At 38.1% G+C, this 21,933-nt stretch overlaps 1 protein-coding gene across 9 annotated transcripts in view; it reads left to right on the forward strand.

The window, feature by feature from the left end:
* The first annotated feature begins 1,341 nt into the window (after positions 1 to 1,341).
* The window catches only part of CCDC192 (coiled-coil domain containing 192), a 239,292-nt gene continuing 218,700 nt past the window's right edge, over positions 1,342 to 21,933 (forward strand). For 7 of the 9 annotated variants that reach the window (XR_948757.4, NM_001317938.2, XM_017009812.3 and 4 more), the window contains exons 1-2: positions 2,517 to 2,633; positions 6,835 to 6,886. Coding sequence is in view for 8 of the 9 variants with exons in the window: in XM_017009812.3 (XP_016865301.2) it covers positions 2,518 to 2,633; positions 6,835 to 6,886 (168 nt within the window). In the remaining variant the exon portion in view is untranslated. Of the gene's footprint in view, positions 1,427 to 1,923; positions 2,000 to 2,516; positions 2,634 to 6,834; positions 6,887 to 21,933 lie in introns of those variants that run through there. The other 2 variants (XM_017009806.3, XM_017009807.2) reach the window with 2 other exon arrangements.

Here is a 21,933-nt window from a genome sequence, read left to right on the forward strand (position 1 = left end):
TTCCAATAAGACGTTAGTAGCTACTAGAATGATAGCGTGATAAAATAATGAGCTCCACGAGGGCAGGAACAGTATCGATTTCATTCGTGCTGAGCACCTTGCCTAGCACAAAGTGAGTTTTCAATAAATATTTGGTGAATAAACAAATCAATACATAAATGAAAGAGTGAGTGGACAGATGAAGCCAAAGGGCTATTTTCCAAGCAGAGGCTCCAAAGACCACTGCAGCTTTCTCTGCTCTCCTCAGCCACACCACTTCATTGTAAATCTATTATCTCTTCTGTCTTGCCCTTTTCTCATTGCAATGTTCTCCCTTCCATTCCCCTTTCTGATCCTACTGATATTTACTCACCTAAGTTAGATAAGACATCCTGATAAGCACGAGCCATGGAACATATAAAATATGCATATTCTTAAGATTCCTCCTTGTTATATACGCATTATATGATTTCTGATTCTAAGAAAAGATATGTTTTTGATAGGCTACAAGGTAAGTTTTAAAATTGTACGTAATAATCTACAAGATCCCCAATGAGCTTACAGCATTTTTTCAATTTAAAACAATGTTAATGGTGGAAGTGTCAATGATTTATATGTATTTCTAGAAGTTTTGTTATAATACCTCTTTGTTTTCTTTACATTTAGAGGGAGAAAATGTAGTTTTTCTAAACTAAAGCTCAACTTTTTAAAATAAAATCATTTGAGTGACTTTCATAAGTACTTTTCCTTAATTATAAAAGAAAAATACCATTAATTTTATTAGTTAGCATGCTTAGAATTCTGTAGGTCAATATGCCTTTAATGACCCAGCCAATTTCCTCAGCACTACCTTCTGAAATCCTTCCCATGCAGTATTTTTTTAAAGGAGAAATGGGAATGGAAAAGTCACTTTGTTTTTCAAGGACTTTTTGAAAGTCTGCTTTTGTACTAGCCATATCTCTCCACCTCTCTTTTTGATCAGCTAGATGTATGATAAGATTAATAACCATTACAAATAATTAGTGCCTACAGTGCCTTTCACCAGCCATTATTGAGATGACTTTTCTTTTATAAAATATTATGACTACAACTACACAGTGAACATCTGGACATTCCTCTAAAATGCACTAAAGTGTAATCTACTCTGTGGGTTTTTTTTTTTTTTTAAATGAGATGAGCTAAAGAAACAGAACAAAAATGTTAGCTAGAAGGGATGACAGAAATAGTTCAAGTGGTTCTTCCTTTTTTTTTTTTTTTGAGACAGAGTCCGGCTCTGTAGCCCAGGCTGGAGTGCGGTGGCGCCATCTTGGCTCACTGCAAGCTCCGCCTCCTGGGTTCACACCATTCTCCTGCGTCAGCTTCCCGAGTAGCTGGGACTACAGGCGCCCACCACCACACCCGGCTAATTTGGTTCTTTCTTAAAGTAACAAATCCAAAGCACAGAGAGGTAAGATGATTTCTGATCCCCAACAGGCTGCTAACTACATGCAAGGCCGATTGCCCAATCCTTGCCTTTCCACAACTACCCATTTAGTGTTGGCTTTTCTATCCAGAACAACAACCGCTCAATAGTTCTTAATTTTATTCATAGGGTTTTTTTTACCAAGGGGCTGGGTCACTTGAAGTTTTGTTGAAGAAGTAAATGCTAATTATACTCTTTAATAGATCAGTCTTAACTATTCATTCCTGTTACTATTGTAGTTACTTGCTCTATAATGCTCTAACCCTAGAAGCAAATTCTGTGATTAGAAACATTGCTGTCATGCCAGTCTAATTTATTTTAGGATGAGCCGTGTGACTAGATTGGGTGAGTCCAGGACATACAGACCAAAATCCAGGAATGATTCTGAGCTGTGGACTGCAGGGATCCTACCTGTACTTCCTGTCAGAGCAGAAAGTGAAGCGGATACAGGTTCACCTGGGTCTACAAATGCATCCAGGGAGAGATACAGCAACTGGCTGGGAGAAAGTAGCTGGTGTCTTTGGACAAGCAACAGGGAAGATGGAGCAGCAGTTGCAGGTGAACAGTGAGCAAACTACCAGCTAATCAGGCACAATGAATCACTTGTGCAATCCTGTGTTAGGAAAGAAGCTTTCATGAGAATGTGGCCGGGTGGGGTCTTCTGTCTGGGGCCGGCGGGTCCCAGGGAAAGCAGATCATCACAATAAGGGGTTGGTCTGTGGTGACACCACTGATTGCCTGTAAACCAATGCATTTCTGGGTGTGCACCCCTCTCAGACAGCAGTGTGGCTGTTTCCTTAGCATTGGTTCTGGATGTAAACATGCCTTGGTTTGAGCACAAAACCACTGTTTCTGTTCCACTTTGAATGAGTTTTCCAGAAATGATGGCTATGTGGTGATTCTTCACCTATTCTCATGCCTGGATCTGATTTGTGAGATGTTTTGAGAGGTTACTGCAGCTTTGTAACGGAGATTTTTTTCTTTGGGAAGTTAACTGTCTTTTCCACATCCATTGTGGTAGCCTAGCAACAAGGGACAGCAGAGCAATAGCAGGGATTCTAAAACTCTAAAGAATGATGCCTGTTGACGTCTGTCCCAGGGACAGGGGATCCCAGTGGGTCTGGCTTGAGATGGGACAATGCTATAGCAAGAAATCTGTGGTCCCAGAGTCTGACACCTCAGAGAGAAGCAGGTGAGTTCCCAGCTCCTCTCATCCCAAAATAATTCATGGGAATTTCTGGATAAAGTAGCTTTCACTCAGTACTTAAAAAAAAATCTTTCTTTAAAGTCTGGGGAATAACAGCAGACAGACTTTTTATCCTTTCCTGGAGAGTGACCCCTTTCTTTGAAAGCTGCTGTCTTCCCAGATCACAGGGCATGGCCTGACACACAGTAGGGGTTCAATAAATATTTGTTGAACAAATAAATTGTCCCTTACTTGGTCTTCTAAAAATCACACACTCACCCACCCCAGCCATTTTACTGATGTGGGAAGGGGGAGGGTATGAAGCCAGCCTTCTTTCAGTTGAAAGGAAATGTCATCTTCACTACTCTCTTGCCAAGAGATGCACACACAAAAAGCTGGGTCATTCCTCCTCTACATGTTCCCCACATAAAAACCTAGATCAATGTTGGCTAGAAATATGGAAGTACAGTTCACTTCTCTAATTGATCTGCATTTAATTACTAGAAATTTTGCATGTTGACACCATACTCATTTCCCTTTCAAATGTGGAAATATCTTCCATTTACAATTTTCTTTTAAATCTTGAGTGAGAGGTGGCCACATCTCTGTAGCAGGAGCTACATCCTATAGGGCAGTATCCTTGTGGGATGTTCACATGCAACCATGGTTCTGCTTTTTAAAGTTTTTGTTTGTTTGTTTGTTTTTGAGACAGAGTCTCACTCTGTCATCCAGGCTGGAGTGCAATGGAGTGATCTTGGCTCACTGCAACTTCTGCCTCCCGGGTTCAAGTGATTCTCCCACTTCAGCCTCCTGAGTAGCTGGGATTACAGGCATCTGCCATCATGCCCAGCTAATTTTTGTATTTTTGTAGAGACAGGCTTTCACCATGTTGGCCAGGCTGGTCTTGAGCTCCTGACCTCAGGTGATCTGCCCACCTTGGCCTCCCAAAGTGCTGGGATTATAGGCATGAGCCACCGTGCCTGGCCTGCTTCGTTAAGTTTTAAAATGTATTTTCCTTATGTGAATGTGTGATCCTTGTTCTTATTTGCTTTTCGTCTTGGGTCTATGGTCTGTGGATGATATGAGAAATTCACAAATCTAAGATTTTATGTAAAATGTTGTTTATTTGTGCAAAGGATTCCATAAGCCTCAAAAATTAAATAATCTATGGGAGGGAGTAAGGCTTTATCCATTTATTAAAGCTAATGAAATTTAGCAAACACTCATTTTCTTTTATTTTCCCAGAACAAAGCAGCTAAAGAGATAACATATCTCCCCAGTAAGCCTAGATCGCGACACTGCACTCCAGCCTGGGCGACAGAGCGAAACTCCATCTAAAATAAATAAATAAATAAATAAATAAATAAATAAATAAATAAATAAATCATTTATTCACCCAGGCTAATTGGTGACTAGTCCTCCAATTTGACATGAAGAATGAAGTAAAAAGTTTAGAAAGCGGAAAGACATTTCATTTAAAGGAAGGAAATTTCAATGTTCTTATAATGCACTGAGAAAAATGCCGTATCATTACTCCCTGCCAATAGAAATTTAAAGAAGTTTTTCCAGGTTTCCAGTGAACCCTGAAGTAAGAAAACAATGCAATAAAAACAAACTTTATAAACATATTTGTTAATTATATTTTGTCTTTATCTCAAAGCTAATAGGCTTTCTAAAGCTTTCTTCCCCCCTTAATTATTGTACAACATGACTTCTCCTGTGTATGCTGGGTTACCATGGTTACTCTGAGGCCATGACTCATGACCTTTAAATATAATTGTCAGGCAGCCAAAGCTCTCATTTTTAAATCACCAGTTTTGTTTCAGGCATTATTATTTAAAAGTAGTCTCAAATTGTACTTTCTGTGATGCATTTGTGGCACATCTGAGTATGCACATAAGGGTATTGCACTCACGTATTTTGTTTTGTTTGGTTTCATTCGGTGACTGAATATGACTTTTTTGCCCAGCATAAAAAACAAACGAAGCACAGTCCTTGTCCTCTATGAGGGTGTCACTGAGAAATGCAAAACACAGGTAGAGAAATAATCACATATATCATGAACCATAATAAGGGCTGCAAGAGGTGGATGTCCAAAACCTGCTTGTGGAATACAAAGGCAAGAAATACTTCTGACTGGTAGGGTCAGAGGGCCTTCAGGGAGAGGCAGCATTTGAGTTATGGTGTGAAGAAATGTAAGATTTCAACAAGCAGAGAAGAGAGTATGAGTGTTCTGGCCAGAGGAAACAACTAAGAAGAGGATAAACACACACTCTGGACTATTAGGCTGTACAGTTGAGGGAAAACATCCGTTTTGTGAGTTTCACTGATAGAAGATGAAATTCATTAGAGGGCTCCATTTATTAAGATCCTTTAAAGCCATTTTTTGGTTTGTCCAGCAACTGTGATGACCAAGAGTTTGTTTTCCATTTCATGATAAAGAGGTGTTGTCAAGTAGAAAGTACCAAAATACTGTTTTTTTGCTGATTTGGGTGTCGTGCGAGAAAAGCAATTACATCTCTTAGAGCACCAGTGTCTCCTTCCACTAAGTGAGAACTTAATTAATTTTGTTCAGTAGTCACTGATTACTTTGTGAACATTTGTAAATGGTTTCAAATTTTTTGAAAAATGAGTAAAAGAGAGACATGTGCACAGAAATATGGAAATAAAACAATGTATTCATGAGGAAGATAGTGGGATAGAAAATAATAAAAGTACCTTGGGATTTAAAAGTAAGGCTTTATTGGCAGGGCGCAGTGGCTCACGCCTGTAATCCCAGCACTTTGGGAAGCCGAGGTGGGTGGATCATGAGGTTAAGAGATCGAGACCATCCTGGCCAACATGGTGAAACCCCGTCTCTACCAAAAATACAAAAATTAGCTAGGCATGGTGGCATGTGCCTGTAATCCCAGTTACTCGGGAGACTGAGGCAGTAGAATCACTTGAACCCGGGAAGTGGAGGCAGTGAGCCGAGATTGTGCTACTGCACTCCAGCCTGGGTGACAGAGCAAGACTCCATCTCAGAAAAAAAAAAAAAAAAAAAAAAGTAAGGCTTTATTGATTGACAACAATAGAAAGGAATCTGTTACATCTGTGAGGTTTATTAGATAATTCATTTATTTATTCAACAAATATTTGTTGACCACCCTATCCTTCTTCAAGATGCTGAGGGTAAAGTAACAAAAACAACAGAAAAAATTTCCTGTCTTCAAGGAGTTTACATTTTCAGTTGGGAGATGACACAAAAAATATAATCAATAAGCAAACTATATAGTATGTTAGAATGTGATAAGTATCACAGAGAAAATAGTATGGTGATGAGGTGAGGGGTTAAATTTTAAATGAGATACATATGGTAGGTCCCACTGAGGTGGTGACATTTGATCAAAGACGAGAAGGAAGGATGAGTAAGCCAAGTGGATAGACTGAAAGTATCCAGGGCCCTTGGATGTGCTGGGAACTGAGTGAAGAAAGTATTTCAGAGAGAGAGTGATAAGTCATGTCAAAAGCTGTTAAGGTGAGTTGTGTAAAATAATCACTGGGTTTAGGAATGCAGAGATCTTTGGTGAATTGGACAAGTGCAGTTTCTGTGGAGTGGTACTAGTAGTGGTACTAGTCTAATTGCAGTGGCTTTAGCAAAAAAGAAAGAAAACTAGAAGGGAAGGAATTGGAGACAGTGAGAATATCGTTTTGCTGTAACCTGAATAGCAAAAGAGGTCAGTATAATCAAGTGGAAACTAAAACGGTAAGAAGGCTCTAGGCATGATAAATAACAACATGTTTATAAGCTAATGGAAATGATCCAGGAGATAGAGAGAGAAGAGAGAGGGAGAGAGAACAGTGTAGGAGACAAAGAATTCTCCACGTCTGCTGATTCTTAGGAGGTTATGCTTTCCTCTCCCCACTTTTTTTTTTTTAGTTGAAATACAAGATTGTTCAGGTTTTCAGAACAGATTGTACTGTTCAGACTACTTATTCTCAAGAGAACTTTTAAAGGCTATTTTATCTTCTGCGAGTAAAGTTTACATTCCATTATTTTTATTTCCCTTAGAAATGTCCAGAAATTGACATTTGGAGGAAATACTTTAGAAAATTTATTTTAAATGTTACAGTGTAATGATCTATTCATTGTATGTGCGGGGGTGTGTGTGCGCACATGAGAGCCTGAAATAAAATTTTGGAATTCTAAATGTTTACTTTTTTTCAGCATGACGTCTGGAAGTTCAGAGTCAGATATACCACAAGAAAACAAAGTATCGGTAAGAAATGAAGTTTGTATGAATTCTTTATTTAAAAAAATCATTACAGGTAATGAAACTAACTTCTTTAATTAATATTAAGGTTTTCTTGATATTGTTTAGTTTTCACATTTTACTAGTAAAGATTTTAGAAATAAAACATAGAAAGTTGTTTTCCAAGTAGAAGATTGATGTAAAGTGGGGTGGAGTGGTAACTATGGGATGTTACTGGGGCTTTGGAAAAGTTACATGTGATGTGGCACAGCCTTTCTTATTTTGACATGTAATAAATGCCACACTGCTCTCTGTGGCCCTACAATACTATAGACATCCCTGGGCTATTTTTGAAGTGTCAGCTTGTGTATGAGGAAATCCTGGAATTCACACACGAATGATATACATTGGGTACAACACAGTATTTGGTTTAGCTAGACTGAGGTTTAAATCACAGTCTATTCCAGATACATCTAGTTTTATTCTCTTTCAAGTCGCTGTGACCCTTGAAGGCTTCTTACACCATGAGCTCCATTATGTCTTGGGAAAGCTGGGTCCTTTCTACCTGAGCACCACTGGGTCCCTCCCTAGGCCTCCAGTGAAAGTGTGGGTTGCTAAGAGGTGCTGGAGCTAGGTGATGGGTATACAGAAGATCATTATACCAATTCTCTACTTTTATGTAAGTTTGAGGATTTTTCTTTGAAAAGAAAAACATTAGCTATCTATATTTCCCTCAATCTCCTTTGATTCAGGTTGAAGACCCTCTGGACTCCACCAGAGATATTTCTGGAACAATCTTTTCAGCTCTAATATAGAGGCAGTATAGTATGGAGAAAAATTACAGACTAAGAATCAAGACTTGGGATGAGGCCAAAATTTGCCATCTCCAACCTTTGTGATGATAGCCAAGTCATTTAAACTCTCCGAGCTTTACTTTTCATCTGTAGAATAAAGATAATGGACTTAACTAGTGCACTTCAAATAAGATTTTTGGGATGTGAAAATGGTTAAGTGCCTGAGAGTGTACAGGAGCATGGTTATTCGGAATTGATAGCATTCCAGTGGGCTTCCGTGTGGGCCAGGGGACTTTGTTCTTTAATTTCTCTATTTCTTTCTGGATTCAGAAGTTCTGGCCTACCAGTCCGTTGGAATCCCGGCATCACTAGGTGTAGTAGTTCGTTCTCGCACCACTATAAAGAGATACCTGAGACTGGGTAATATATAAAGAAAAGAGATTCAATTGGCTCGCAGTTCTGCAGGCTGTACGGGAAGTATAGTGGCTTTGGCTTCTGCTACTGGGGAGGCCTTAGGAAGGTTCCAATTAGGCTTTCGGAAAGGGGTGGCGAGGCATGTCACACAGTGGGAGCAGGAGAGAGAGAGAGAGAGAGAGGGAGAGGGAGAGGGAGGAGAGAAAGAAGAGAGAGAGAGGGGGAGAGGGGGAGAGAGGGGGAGAGAGGTGGAGAGAGGGGGAGAGAGAGAGAGAGAGAGAGAGAGAGAGAGAGAGAGAGAGAGAGAAATGCTACACACTTTTTAGCAACCAAATCTCCTGAAAACTCACTCACCATCATGAGAACAGCACCAAGGCACCAAGGGGATGGGGCTAAACCATTCGTGAGAAACTGCCTCCATGATCCAATCACCTTCCACCAGGCGTCCTCCTGCAACGCTGGGAATTATAATTCAACATGAGATTTGGACAGGGACACAGATCCAAACCTTATCACCAGCTAAGAATAATTGATTCTTTTGTGAGTGATATATCTAGAACCTCACTTCTGTAGAATTATTTTTGATCATAAAACGTTAACATCTCTCTTGTCAGTGTAGTTCATTTTACCTGGTCCTAGACAAACTGGACATAGCTCTCAAATTTATAATAATTTTCAGAAAGAGTGTTTCTCTTGAAGAAATATTAGCCAAAGGCAAATCAAATTAGTTTGGTTTCAGTTAAAAATGTATTTTCTAACTCTAGTGATAATTTAATCTTATGTTGCTTTTTTCAGCTAAGAAAACCTGATAATGAAGTTTTGCTTCATTTAATGGAGCTGTTTATGATACTGTTGCCCAAAGAGTGTCCCTCACTGGACCATATGAAAACAATTTTTCTCTGGTTGGTGGGGACCCTTGAATTTGGGATATGGGAATCTTCAGGGCACCAATTTCTACTTAACTGCCCTGTCTTCTAAGGATGCTAATCAACCAGCACCCTAGAGGTAACCCTCTCATGGACGGTATCTACACTGAAAAGGACAAGGTGCCAATTACCTACTACCTTTAGGATTTCTGCCAAGGGCTTCAATTAGCTTCCTGGAGTTCAGAATCCATCCCCTTCCAATTTACAATGGGTAAGCTTGGGATCCCTGGGGCTTGAAGGAACTGGTTGTGCTTCGGTTTCTGATTTTTAAAAAAATATTTCTAAAGAAATACATTTAGCTGGAGGGAGTTGGGATTAGAGACTCAAAGTGGTGGGGATATCCATGATTACTGCTGCCTTCTTCCACAACGCAGTCTCTTTTAAGTCATGGAACTCACAGAGCACAGAACTCAGCAGAATGGATTCTGCTGTGAACCATGAGGAACCGAATTGCAGGTGGATCTCAGTTGCCTCTTTTAAATAATTGCTTTTAGTTTTGGTCGAGAAGACAGAGATGAGAAAATCTTTTCATGAAGATTTCTTGACCACCAAGCAGAATTAACCCCGCTCTCTCTGCCTTTGTGTCTTGGTGGTTCTTTATTTGCCTTTACTGCACTATTCTCTGAATCTACTTTGACTTTTGAACTCTGTTGGTAAACTGTGCATTCCTAGAGAAAGGACTGAGCTTTATTAGTCTCTGGGACAAAATTTCAGACATCAAAATGGCTCTCGATCGATATCATTTGAAATAAAACAAACAGACTGAGCTCCAGGCGTAGTAGCAGGTGATTGAAATTCCCTGTCCCTCTGAATCCGTAGAGCAGCCCATGAGGGTGGTGTCTGGCATCATCATTGTTATATTGATAATTTTCTTCCTATTGTTATAATTACCAATTTAGAAATTAAGAAATTGAGATTCGGGGAGATTCAAGGAGCTCCAGAATGTTAAGTGATCAAAGAATATGTGTTTACTTTATCGCAGGAACCTGATGGGATAATCCAGTAAGACTTTGTTTAAATCCACTCTCAGGTGCCAGGTAGTCCCCATTTATCTCAACCCTATCTATTCTTTGGGCCTGCTGGAGAATTAGAATGTTATTTAAACTATTGCTTTTGCTGCATTTTAACATCTTCTGACAGAATAGCTAGTGCATATAAATTATCTCATTTGAAGCTGTTTAGGAAATAAAAATTCTATTGCAAGAAGGGTTGGCCAAAATAGGATCACGACTGCTCCCTCTGAACTATTTCTGAGAATCTAGACACATAGAAATAAGCAATGTAAAACATATAATGTCATTGGTTATGTGGAGTGCCACATCTAAAAGTAAGGCTATGGGTATGAATTCATTAGCTCTAGAATATATATGAAGTATTTTACTCAGTGTGCAAAACTAGGCTTATTATAAAATCCCATAAGCCCTTTAGCTTTCAAGTAGTAATTTAGTGATCACTTTATTAAAGAATCACTATTTTAAGTGCCAAATATATGAAAGCACTTTTTGGTTTTTAATTTGTAAGATCAAATAATAGCCCACTATATAGGAAGTCAGCTTTATAAAGTGACCTTAAAGTAGCTAAAACATATTATATTTGATAAGTTGGGGAAAGCAAGCAGTGTCTTATTTGTGTCAAATTATATAAATTCTGTTCTTCTTTTAATACTTAGTGTAATATACTATTAGTTTTGCTGGAAACATACATTTGGTCATATTTCTGGTATCTATAAATTTTAACATTCTAAGATGACTTTCAAAAGATTCTTTCCTTTGATGAGCAAACTTTCAAATCGTTAATGAATCAAGGTTATCAATATATCATTTGTGTTTTAAATAAGTGATTTAAAGGAGGTATCGCTGTTTATTGTTAAGATGAGAACAATATAAAATTGTATATGTATCTATATTTAAATAAAGATTTGTTGCTGTTCTGGGAAATAGGTTAATTTTTTTACCACTCTAATAGGTAAGAAATTACATCTCAAAACTCTTTGTTTTGCCTTTCCTTTCTTTCTCTCTCTTTCAGCTTTACTAAGACATAATTGACACATTTAAAGTATACAAGTTGATGAGTTTTGATACCATGTGAAGCTACCACCACAATCAGGATAATGTGCCTATCTACCACCCTCAAAAGTTACTCATGCACCTTAGGAATTCCCCCACCTGCCTCTCCCCACCTGCCCACACCCCTCAAGCATTTCCTTGAGATTTTTATAAACGGAGACATACAGAATGTACCCTTTTTTACTGCTTTCTTTCACTTAGAAAAATTGTTTTGAAATTTATCCATGTTGTAGTGTGTATCAATAACTCATTTTTATTGCAGAATAGTTTCCCGTTGTATTGGAGGTACCAATCTGTTTATCCCTGCTGCAGATTGGATATGGTTTGTTTGTCCCCATCAAATCTCATGTTGAACTTTGATCTCCAGTGTTAGAGGGAGTTCTAATGGGAGGTGTTTGGGTCATGGGGTTGCATCCCTCATGAATAGATTAACATCCTCCCTTGGGGGTGAGTTCTCAATAAGCTGATTGTTAAAAAGAGTCTGACACCTGCCTGTGTTGTCTCCTTGCTTCTTCTCTCACCCTGTGATATCTGCACATTCCTGTTCCTTCCACCATTAGTGGAAGCAGTCTGAGATCCTCCAGAAACTAAGCAGATGCTGACACCATGCTTCTTGTACAGCCTACAGATCCATCAGCTAAATAAACCTCTTTTCTTTTCAAATTACCAAGCCTCAGATATTCTTTTATAGCAACACACAACAGACTAAGACAATCCTTTGTCTGTTGACTGACATTTAGATTATTTCCAGTTTTAGGCTCTTAAAAATAAGGCTTCTATGAATATTCATGCATGAGTCTTTGTATAGACATATGCTTTCTTTTCTCTTGGGAAAATACACAAGAGTGGTGGTAGAGTCATATGGTAGGTGTACTTTTAACTTTTGAAAAACCTGCTAAACTGTTTTCCAAAGTCATTGTATCATTTAACATCCCCACCAGCAATGCATGAAAATTTTAGTTCGTCTACATTCTTTGCAACCCTATGAAGGTCAGCCTTTAAAATTTTAGTCATTCTGTGGCCGGGTACAGTGGCTCACGCCTGTAATCCCAGCACTTTGGGAGGCCGAGGTGGGCGGATCACCTGTGGTCGGGAGTTCGAGACCAGCCTGACCAACATGGAGAAACGCTGTCTCTACTAAAAATACAAAATTAGCCGGGCATGGTGGTGCATGCCTGTAATCCCAGCTACTCGGGAGACTGAGGTAGGAGAATCACTTGAACCCAGGAGGCAGAGGTTGCAGTGAGCTGAGATCACACCATTGGACTCCAGCCTGGGCAACAACAGCGAAACTCTATCTCAAAAAAAAAAAAAATTTAGTCGTTCTAATAGGCTTAGTTATAACTCATTGTGGTTTTAATTTGCATTTCCTTAATAGCTAATGGTGTTGAGCAACTTTTCACTTGCTTATTTGCCATCCTTCAATCTTATTTAGTGAAGTATTTATTCAAGCCTTTTGTCCATTTTCAAGTTGTGTTAGTTTCTTATTTGATAATGAGAGTTTAAAAAAATATGATTTGGATGTAAAGAATTTTTCATATATATTTTGCAAGTATTTTCTCCTGTCTGTACCTGGTCTTGTAATTCTCTTAGTAATGTCTGTAGATGAACAGAAGTTTTTTATTTTGATGAGATCTAATTTATCAATTTGTATTTTCATGGACCACGCTTTGACATCTGATCTAAAAAAATCTTTGCCCGAGGCTACAAATATTTCTCCTAATTTTTATTCTAGGAATGTTATACTTTTAGGGATTTTTTCCTGTTGTTTTCATCTTTTAAAAAGTAATTGACACATAATAATTGTACATATTTATGGGGTACAGTGTGATGTTTTAATATGTGTATATAATGTGTAGTGATCAAATTAGGATAATTAGCATATCTATTACGTCAGACATTTATAATTTCTTTGCTAAGAACATTAAAAATCCTCTTTTCTAGCTGTTTTGAAATATACGTATTATTGTTAACTGTAGTTACTCTGCTTTGCAGTGGAACACTAGAACTTATTCCTCCTATCTAGCTATAACTTTGTATTTATCCCCCTATACCACCATCTCCCTAATCTTCTTCAGCCTCTGGTAACCCCTATTTTACTCTCTATTTCTATGAAATTGATTTTTTTAGATTCCACATATAAGTAAGATTATGCAGTATTTGTCTTTCTGTGTCTGGCTTATTTCACTTATCATGATGTCCTCCAGGTCCACCTATGTTACTGCAAATGGCACAATTTCAGTCTTTTTTGTGGCTGAATAGTATTCTATTGTGTAAATAGATCACATTTTCTTTAGTCACTCATCCACTGATGGACACTTAGTTGGAGTTCATATCTTTGCTATTGTGAATAGTGCTGCAACAAACATGAGTGTGCAGATATCTCTTTGACATACTAATTTCATTTGCTTTGGATATTGACCCAGTAGTGGGGCTGTTGGATCATAGGGTAGTTTATTTATTTATTTATTTTTAGATAGAATCTCACTCTGTCACCCAGGCTGGAGTGCAGTGGTGTAGTCTTGGCTCACTGCAACCTCTGCCTCCCAGATTCAAGTGATTCTCCTGCCTTAGCCTCCTGAGTACCTGGGACTACAGGCACATGCCACCACACCTGCATAACTTTTGTACTTTTTTTTAAGTAGAGATAGAGTTTCAACTCCTGACCTCAAGTGATCCATCTGCCTTGGCTTCCCAAATTGCTGGGATTATAGGCATGAGCCACTACGCCTGGCCAGTAGTTCTATTTTTAATTTTTAAGGTACCTCCCTACTCTTTTCCACAGTGGTTGTACTAATTTACATTCTCACCAACAATATATAAGGATCTCCCATTCTCCCTGCTCTCACCAGCATTCATTATTTTTTGTCTTTTCAATAATATCCATTCTAACTAGGGTGAGATGATATCTTATTGTGGTTTTGATTTGCATTTTCCCAATTAGTGAAGTTGAGCATTTAAAAAATATACGTGTTAGCAATTTGTCTTTTGAGAAATGTCTATTTAGGTCTTTTGCCCATTTATAATGAAATTATTAGGTTTTTTTTTTGCTATTGAGTTGTTCAGTATCCTTATATATTCTGGTTATTAACGCCTTGTCAGATGCATACTTTGTGAATATTTTCTCCCATTCTGTAGGTTGTTTCTTCACTATATTGATTACTTCCTTTGCAATACAGAAGCTTTTCAAATTGATGTAATCCCATTTGTCTAATTTTGCTTTTGTTACACATGTTTTTGAGGTCTTATTCAAAAAATCCTCACCCATACCAATCTCACAAAGTGTTTTCCCTATTTTTATTCTAGTGGTTTCATAGTTTCAGGTTTACATTTAAGTCTTTAATCCATTTTGAGTTGATTCCTGTAAGTTGGAAGAGATAGGAGACTAGTTTCATTCTTCTGCATATGGATGTCCAGTTTTTCCAGCACCATTTATTGAAGAGACAGTCCTTTCTTCAGTGTGTATTATTGGCAACTTTGTTGAAGCTCAGTTGGCTGTAAATGTGTGGATTTCTGTATTTTATGCCAGTGGCATGCTGTTTTGTTTACCATTGCTTTGCAGTATATTTAGAAGTAAGGTAGTGTGCCTCTAGCTTGGTTCTATTTTATCAAGATTGCTTTGGCTGTTTGGAGTCTTTTGTGGTTCCATACCAATTTCAGTATTGTTTTTTCTATTTCTGTGAAGGATACCATTGGTATTTTGATAGGGATTGCATTTAATCTGTAAATTTCTTTGGATAGTGAAGACATTTTAACAATATTAATATATGTCCATGAACATGAGAAATCTTTCCATTTATTTGTGTACCCATTTCTTTCATCAATGTTTTGTAGTTTTTATTGTAAAGATCTGTTTTTGTGTAAAGTCTTTGAAGTTTCATATACAAAAGATCATGTCATCTGTAAACAGGAACAATGTGATTTCCTCCTTTGCAGTTTGAAGGCCCTGTATTTCTTTCTACTGCCTAATTGTTTTGACTAGGGCTTCCAGTACTATGTTGAATAAAATTAGTAAAAGTGGACATCCTTGTCTTGTGATTTTAGTAAAAATGTTTTCAACTTTTCTCCATTCAGTATATTAGATATGGCTTTGTCATATATGGTCTTTATTGTGCTGAGGCAGATTCCTTCTATACCAAATTTGTTGAGAGTTTTTATCATGAAGGGATGTTGCATTTCATCAAATGCTTTTTTTTTGCATCTGTTGAAATGGTCATATGTTTTTGGCCTTCATTCTGTTGATGTAATGAGTAATGTTTATTGATTTGTGAATGTTGAACTCTCCTTGTATCCCTGGTATGAATCCCACTTAATCATGATGAATATTCTTTTTGATGTGCTATTGGATTGGATTTGCTAGCATTTTGTTGAGGATTTTTGCCTCTATGTTCATCAGGAATACTAGCCTGTAGTTTTCTTGTTTGTTGTGTCCTTGCCTGGTTTTGTATCAGGGTAATGCTCACTTCATAGACTGAGTTAGCAAGAATTCTCTTCACTTCAATTGTTTGGAATAGTTCAAGAAGAATTGATATTAGTTCTTCTTTAAATGTTTGGTAGATTTCAGCAGTGAAGCTGTCAGGTCCTGAGCTTTTCTTTGATGGGAGATTTTTATTACTGATTCAATCTTCTTATTTGTTATTGGTCAGTCCAGGTTTACTATTTCTTCATGTTTTATTCTTGATAGGTTGTATGTGTCCAGGAAGTTTCTCTTTTTATATTTAGGTCTATAATCTCTCTAGAAATTTCCCTCAGCTGAGGGAGCTCCAATTTACCACAATTACCTGCCCCACCTCCTTCTTCATAGGATTAACCTTCATTCAATGACTTCTGATGCAGGGCCATAAGATGTGACCTCCTTGCTTTGATTGGAAACAGTTTTGAAGGGCTATCCCAGCTCCATATCTCCCCTTGGAATTGGCTGAAGCCTCTGTTGTATTTTTCCTTCTCTCCTTACTTTATAGGGGCCATCTCCAATAAGCCTTCTGCAGCAAAATCTTTCAGACTCTGTTTCCTGGAACCCTAACCTCATACAATCACAAATATCAGAATAAATCATAACCTAATGAATGAGGTTGTGTGAATAGAAATTAATAAGAAATATTAAACAGCCATAGTGTTATCACTGAAAGCAAGACAAAAAATATGAATAGAAACTGTCATTGTAACTGACAGCCCTTTAGAGAAATCTTTCTTAATATATATAAGAAATTAAATGAATATCTGCTTGCAAACTTCAGGGAAGTAAAATATTTTATTTAACAAATCATTGCAATGTTCATATATTCAATTTTAAGAATTTACTTTTTGCCACAAAAGGACACAAATAGTATGTAAATTGAATCTTTATTTCTAGATTCTTCTGCTAAAGGTAAGTAATGTTATTTTCCCAGATCTTATTTACCCACATTATACTCTCCTGTTCCCATTCTGTTCCCTGCTCCTATGAACTATATTCACCCAATTTAAATAGTGTAGCCTAAATTCTCTGCAGAAAAAAGCTTCTGAAGATTTTGGCTCAAGCAGTGCATAGAAAGGTAGTAGTAATAGTATCCTTGTAATTGGGATTTTTTTTTTGCCTGATATCAAGAAAGATCAAAATTTCAATTAATTTAATTTGATTATCATTAATTTTTTGAACTTTACCTGCTGCAATTGACTAAATTCTTAATATTTTATTTACCTTAATAATTTATTTCTCCTTCATAAAACCCATTAAAGTTGGGAAGCAGAAGGTCTCCAGGGAACTCTCTGGATGGACACTTAACCTGGGAATGCCTTTCTGCAATCTGGGCAGCAATGGGTAGGAGGGGGAAAATTGTCATTGTGAGGGCTCTATCCAGAAGTTACACATATAACTTCTGCACTCCTTCATCAGCCAAAGAAGTCACATAGTCCCAAAAACTTCAGGCTTGTGGAAGTAAAATCATATTATGTGCCTGGGAAAAGTTTTAGAACTATCTTGTGACCAGAAAATTATAGCAATATAAAGCTAGACAAAAAAAAAAAAAAAAAGAAAACAAGAACAAAACAAAACAAAAAAAACACAGAATTAAATCTAAGAAGGAAGCATTATCTCCAGAAGTTCTCACTTTAATAATAAGTGCTATTTAACTTGAGAGCAGAGGCCATAAAAAAGATCTTAGTGATTTAAAATGAGGTTGGCCAAATATCTGGGAAGTGTCCTTTAGAAAATGATCCTTCACAAACAACTGGGCAAGACGACCTATTTCATTTTTAATTTACATGATAGTGCAAATGTATAAGAAAAAAAAGGTCCTGTCTTCATGCAAATGTGTTCTTTTAATTTTTTTAAATGTCAACAGACAAAGAAATTTAGAAAACACGTGGCACTGAAACAGATTGTTTACAGACAGAATGTTTTTCAGAATTTCCCCAAGAGGCACCAGTGGTGCAAAGAACCTCTATAAATGGAAGCATCTGAGTGTCTCCAGATTTGTTTCATCAGATACCCATGACATTTTTTTCTCCATTTGGCTCCTTCAAATGGCAAAAAGTTCCTAACAACTGGCATAATTTGAGGAAAGCATACTAATTTGTGCTGTGTAGTGCTGGCACATTTTATTCTCTATGAGGGTGTTGAGGAGTTTGTATGTATAGAAGGAAGGGAATTTGGTAATGTGAAAAAGGGAGATAAATATACATCCTTAGAGTTTAAGGGTTACTCTGTACTAACACTTTGAATAAAATCAGATTTTATGTGCAACTTGCTCATCCTCTGGAAACTGAATGTTTAGATCAGGGAAGACTGGGCAAGGGGAAGCCAGTTTTGAGGATCATCTTGTTAAAAATATTTAAAAATTTTTAATTGTTATGGGTACACAGTGGTGTGTATATCTATGGGGTACATAAGATGAAATATTTTGATACAGGCATAAATATATAATAATCACAACAGGATAAATGGGTACCCATCACCTCAAGCTTTTATATTTTATTTGTGTTACAAACAATCCAATTATACTCTTTTAGTTATTTTTAAATGTACAATAAGCTATTATTGACTGTACTCACCCTGTTGTGCTATCAAATACTAGATCTTATTCATTTTCTCTAACTACATTTTTGTACCCATTGACCATCCTCACTTCCCCACACAGACCCCTTCCAGCTTCTGTTAGCCATCCTTCCACTTTTTATCTCCATGGATTCAATTGTTTTAATTTTTAGCTCCCAAAAATAAGTGACAGCATGCAAAGTTTGTCCTTCTTGACAGGTTTATTTCACTTAACATAATGTCCTCCAATTTCATCCATATTGTTGAAAAGGACAGGATATCGTTCTTTTATATGGCTGACTAGTACACCATTGTGTACATCTACCACATTTTCTTTTTCTATTCATCCGTTGATGGACACTTAGACTGCTTCCAAATCCTGGCTATTGTGACTAGTGCTGCAATAAATGTGGGAGTGCATGTATCTCTTCAATATGCTTGTTTCCTTTATATTTTATATATACATACATATATATATATATACACACACATACATATATATACATACATATATATACAGACACATACATATATATATATATATATACACACACATACATATATATATATATATATACACACATACATATATATATATATATATATATATACACACATACATATATATATATACCAAGCAGTGGGATTGCTGAATCATGTGATAGCTCTATTTTTTGAGAAAACTCCTGTATTAGTCCATTCTCACATTGCTCTAAAGAACTACCTGAGACTGGGTAATTTATAAAGAAAAGAGGATGAACTGGCTCAGGGTTCTGCTCATGGTTCTACAGAAAGCATGGCTGGGAGGCTTCAGAAAACTTATAATCATGGTGGAAGTTGAAGAAGAAGGAGGCACGTCTCGCATGGCCAGATCAGAGGAAGGGGCGGGGGAGGTGACACATGCTTTTTAAACCACCAGATCTCATGAGAACTCACTTACTATCATGAGAACAGCAAGGGGGATGTCCACCCCCCGATCCAATCATCTCCCACCAGACTCTTCCTCCAACATTGGGGATCACAATTCAACATGAGATTTGTGCTGGGACACAACTCAGACCATATCATTTCACCCTCACCCTCCCAAATCGCACGTCCTTCTCACATTGCAAAATACAATCAACCTTTCTCAACAATCTCCCAAGTCTTAAATCATTTCAGCATTAACTCAAAAGTCTACAGTCCAAAGTATCTTCTGAGACAAGATAAGTCCCTTCTGCCTATGAGTATGTAAAATCAAAACCAGTTAGTTACTTCCAAGATACAATGGGGGTACTGGCATTGGGTAAATACTCCTATTCTAAAAGGGAAAAAATCAGCCCAAACAAAGGGGCTAAAGGCCCCATGCAAGTCCAAAACTCAGCAGGGAAGTCATTAAATCTTAAAGCTCCAAAATGATTTCCTTTGCCTCCATGTTTCACATCCTGGCAACACTGATGAAATGGGCAGAATCCCAAGGCCTTGGGTAGCTCTGCCCCTGTGGTTCTGCAGGGGACAGCCACCATGGCTGCTTTCATGGGCTGGCATTGAGTGTGCCTGCAGCTTTTCCAGGGGCACGGTGCAAGCTGTTGGTGGATCTACCATGCTGGGGTCTGGAGGATGGTGGCTGTCTTCAAACAGCTCCACTAGGCAGTGCCCCAGTGGGGACTCTGTATGTAGGCTCCAACCCTATATTTCTCCTCCACACTGCCCTAGTAGAGGTTCTCCATGAGGGCTTTGGCCCTGCAGCAGACTTCTGCCTGGACATCCAGGCCTTTCCATACATTCCTTGAAATCTAGGCAGAGGCTCCTAAGCCTCAACTCTCATATTCTGCACCCACAGGCTTAACACCACATGGAAGCCTCCAAGGCTTACAACTTGTACCCTCTGAAACAACAGGCTGAGCTGTATCTTGGGAACTTTAAGATACAGACCTTAAGATGGCTGGGCCTGGAGTGGCTATAGTGCATGGCACCATGTCCTGAGGCTGTACAGAGCAGCAGGACCTTGGGCCTGGCCACAAAACCATTCTTTCTTCCTTGGCCTCCAGGCCTATGATGGGAGGGACTGACATGAAGTTCTCTGAAATGTCTTCGAGGTCTTTCCCCATTATCTTGACTATCAACATTTGGCTCCTCTTTACATATGCAAATTTCTGTAGCTGGCTTGAATTTCTCCCCGGAAAACGGGTTTTTCTTTTCTACTACGTGGCTGGGCTGCAAATTTTCCAAACTTTTACACTCTGCTTCCCTTTTAGATATTAGTTTCAGTTTCAGACCATTTCTTTGCTCATGCATATGACCATATGCTGTTAGAACCAGCCAGCGCATATCTTGAATGCTTTGCTGCTTAGAAATTTCTTCCACCAGATACCCTAAATCATCTCTCTCATGTTCAACATTCTACATATTCCCAGAGCAGAGGCAAAATGCCTCCAGCTTCTTTGCTAACATATAACAAAACTGACCTTACTCCAGTTCTCAATAAGTTCCTTATCTCCATCTGAGACCACCTCAGCCTGACTTCATTGTCTATATCACTATCAGGATTTTGGTCACAACCATTCAAGAAGTCTCTAGGAGTTCCAAACTTTCCCTCATCTTTCTGTCTTCTTCTGAGCCCTCCAAACTCTTCTAACCTATGCCCATTACTGAGTCCCAAAGCTGCTTCCACATTTTCAGGTATCTTTATAGCAATGCCCCACTCCCAGTATCAATTTTCTGCATTAGTCCATTCTCAAATTGCTATAAAGAACTACCTGAGACTGAGTAATTTATAGATAAAAGAGGTTTGATTGGCTCATGGTTCCTCAAGCTGTACAGGAAGCATGGCTGTGGAGGCCTCAGGAAACTTGCAGTCATGGTACAAGGCAAAGGAGAAGGAGGCATGTCTTGCATGGCTGGGGCAGGAGGAAGAGAGAAAGCGGGGAGGTGCCACACACTTTTAAACAACCAGATCTCATGAGAGCTCACTCATTATCATGCGAACTACAAGGGGGAGTAAGCCCCAATGATCCAATCACCCCCCACTAGGCTCCTCCTCCAACACTGGGGGTTACAATTCAACATGAGATTTGGGTGGGGATACAAATTCAAACCATATCACCTCCATACTGTTCTTTATAGTAACTGTACTAATTTACATTTCCACCAACAGTGTATGAGGGTTCCCTTTTCTCCACATCCCTGCCAGCATTTGTCATTGCCTGTCTTTTGGATAAAGGCCATTTTAACTGGGGTGAGATGATATCTCATGTAGTTTTGATTTGCGTTTCTCTGATGATCAGTGATGTCAAGCACTTCTTCGTATGGCTGTTTGCCATTTGTATGTCTTCTTTTGAGGAATGTCTTTTAGGATCTTTTGCTCATTTTTAATTAGAGTACTTTTTTTTTTTTACTATTGTTTGAGCTCCTTATATATCCTGGCTATGAATCCCTTGTCAGATGGGTAGTTTGCAAATATTTTCTCCCATTTGTGGGTTGTTTCTTCACTTTGTTGATTATTTCCTTTGCTATACAGAAGCTTTTTAATGTCATGTGATCCCATTTGTCAATTTTTGCTTTAGTTCCCTGTGCTTATGGAGTATTACTCAAGAAATATTTGCCCAGAACAATGTCCTGGAGCATTTCCTCAATGTTTTCTTTTAGTAGTTTCATAGTTGAGGTCTTAGATTTAAGTCTTTCATCCATTTTGATTTGATTTTTGTGTATGGCGAAACATAGGGGTCTAGTTTCATTCTTCTCCATATGGATATCCAGTTTTCCCAGCACCATTTATTGAAGAGACTGTCCCTTCTCCAATGTATGTTCTTGGTAACTTTGTCAGAAATGAGTTTACTGTAGATGTATGAATTTATTTCTGCATTCTCTATTTTGCTCC

This window comes from Homo sapiens, chromosome 5 (assembly GCF_000001405.40).
Source record: "Homo sapiens chromosome 5, GRCh38.p14 Primary Assembly".
Taxonomy (NCBI): Eukaryota; Metazoa; Chordata; class Mammalia; order Primates; family Hominidae; genus Homo; species Homo sapiens.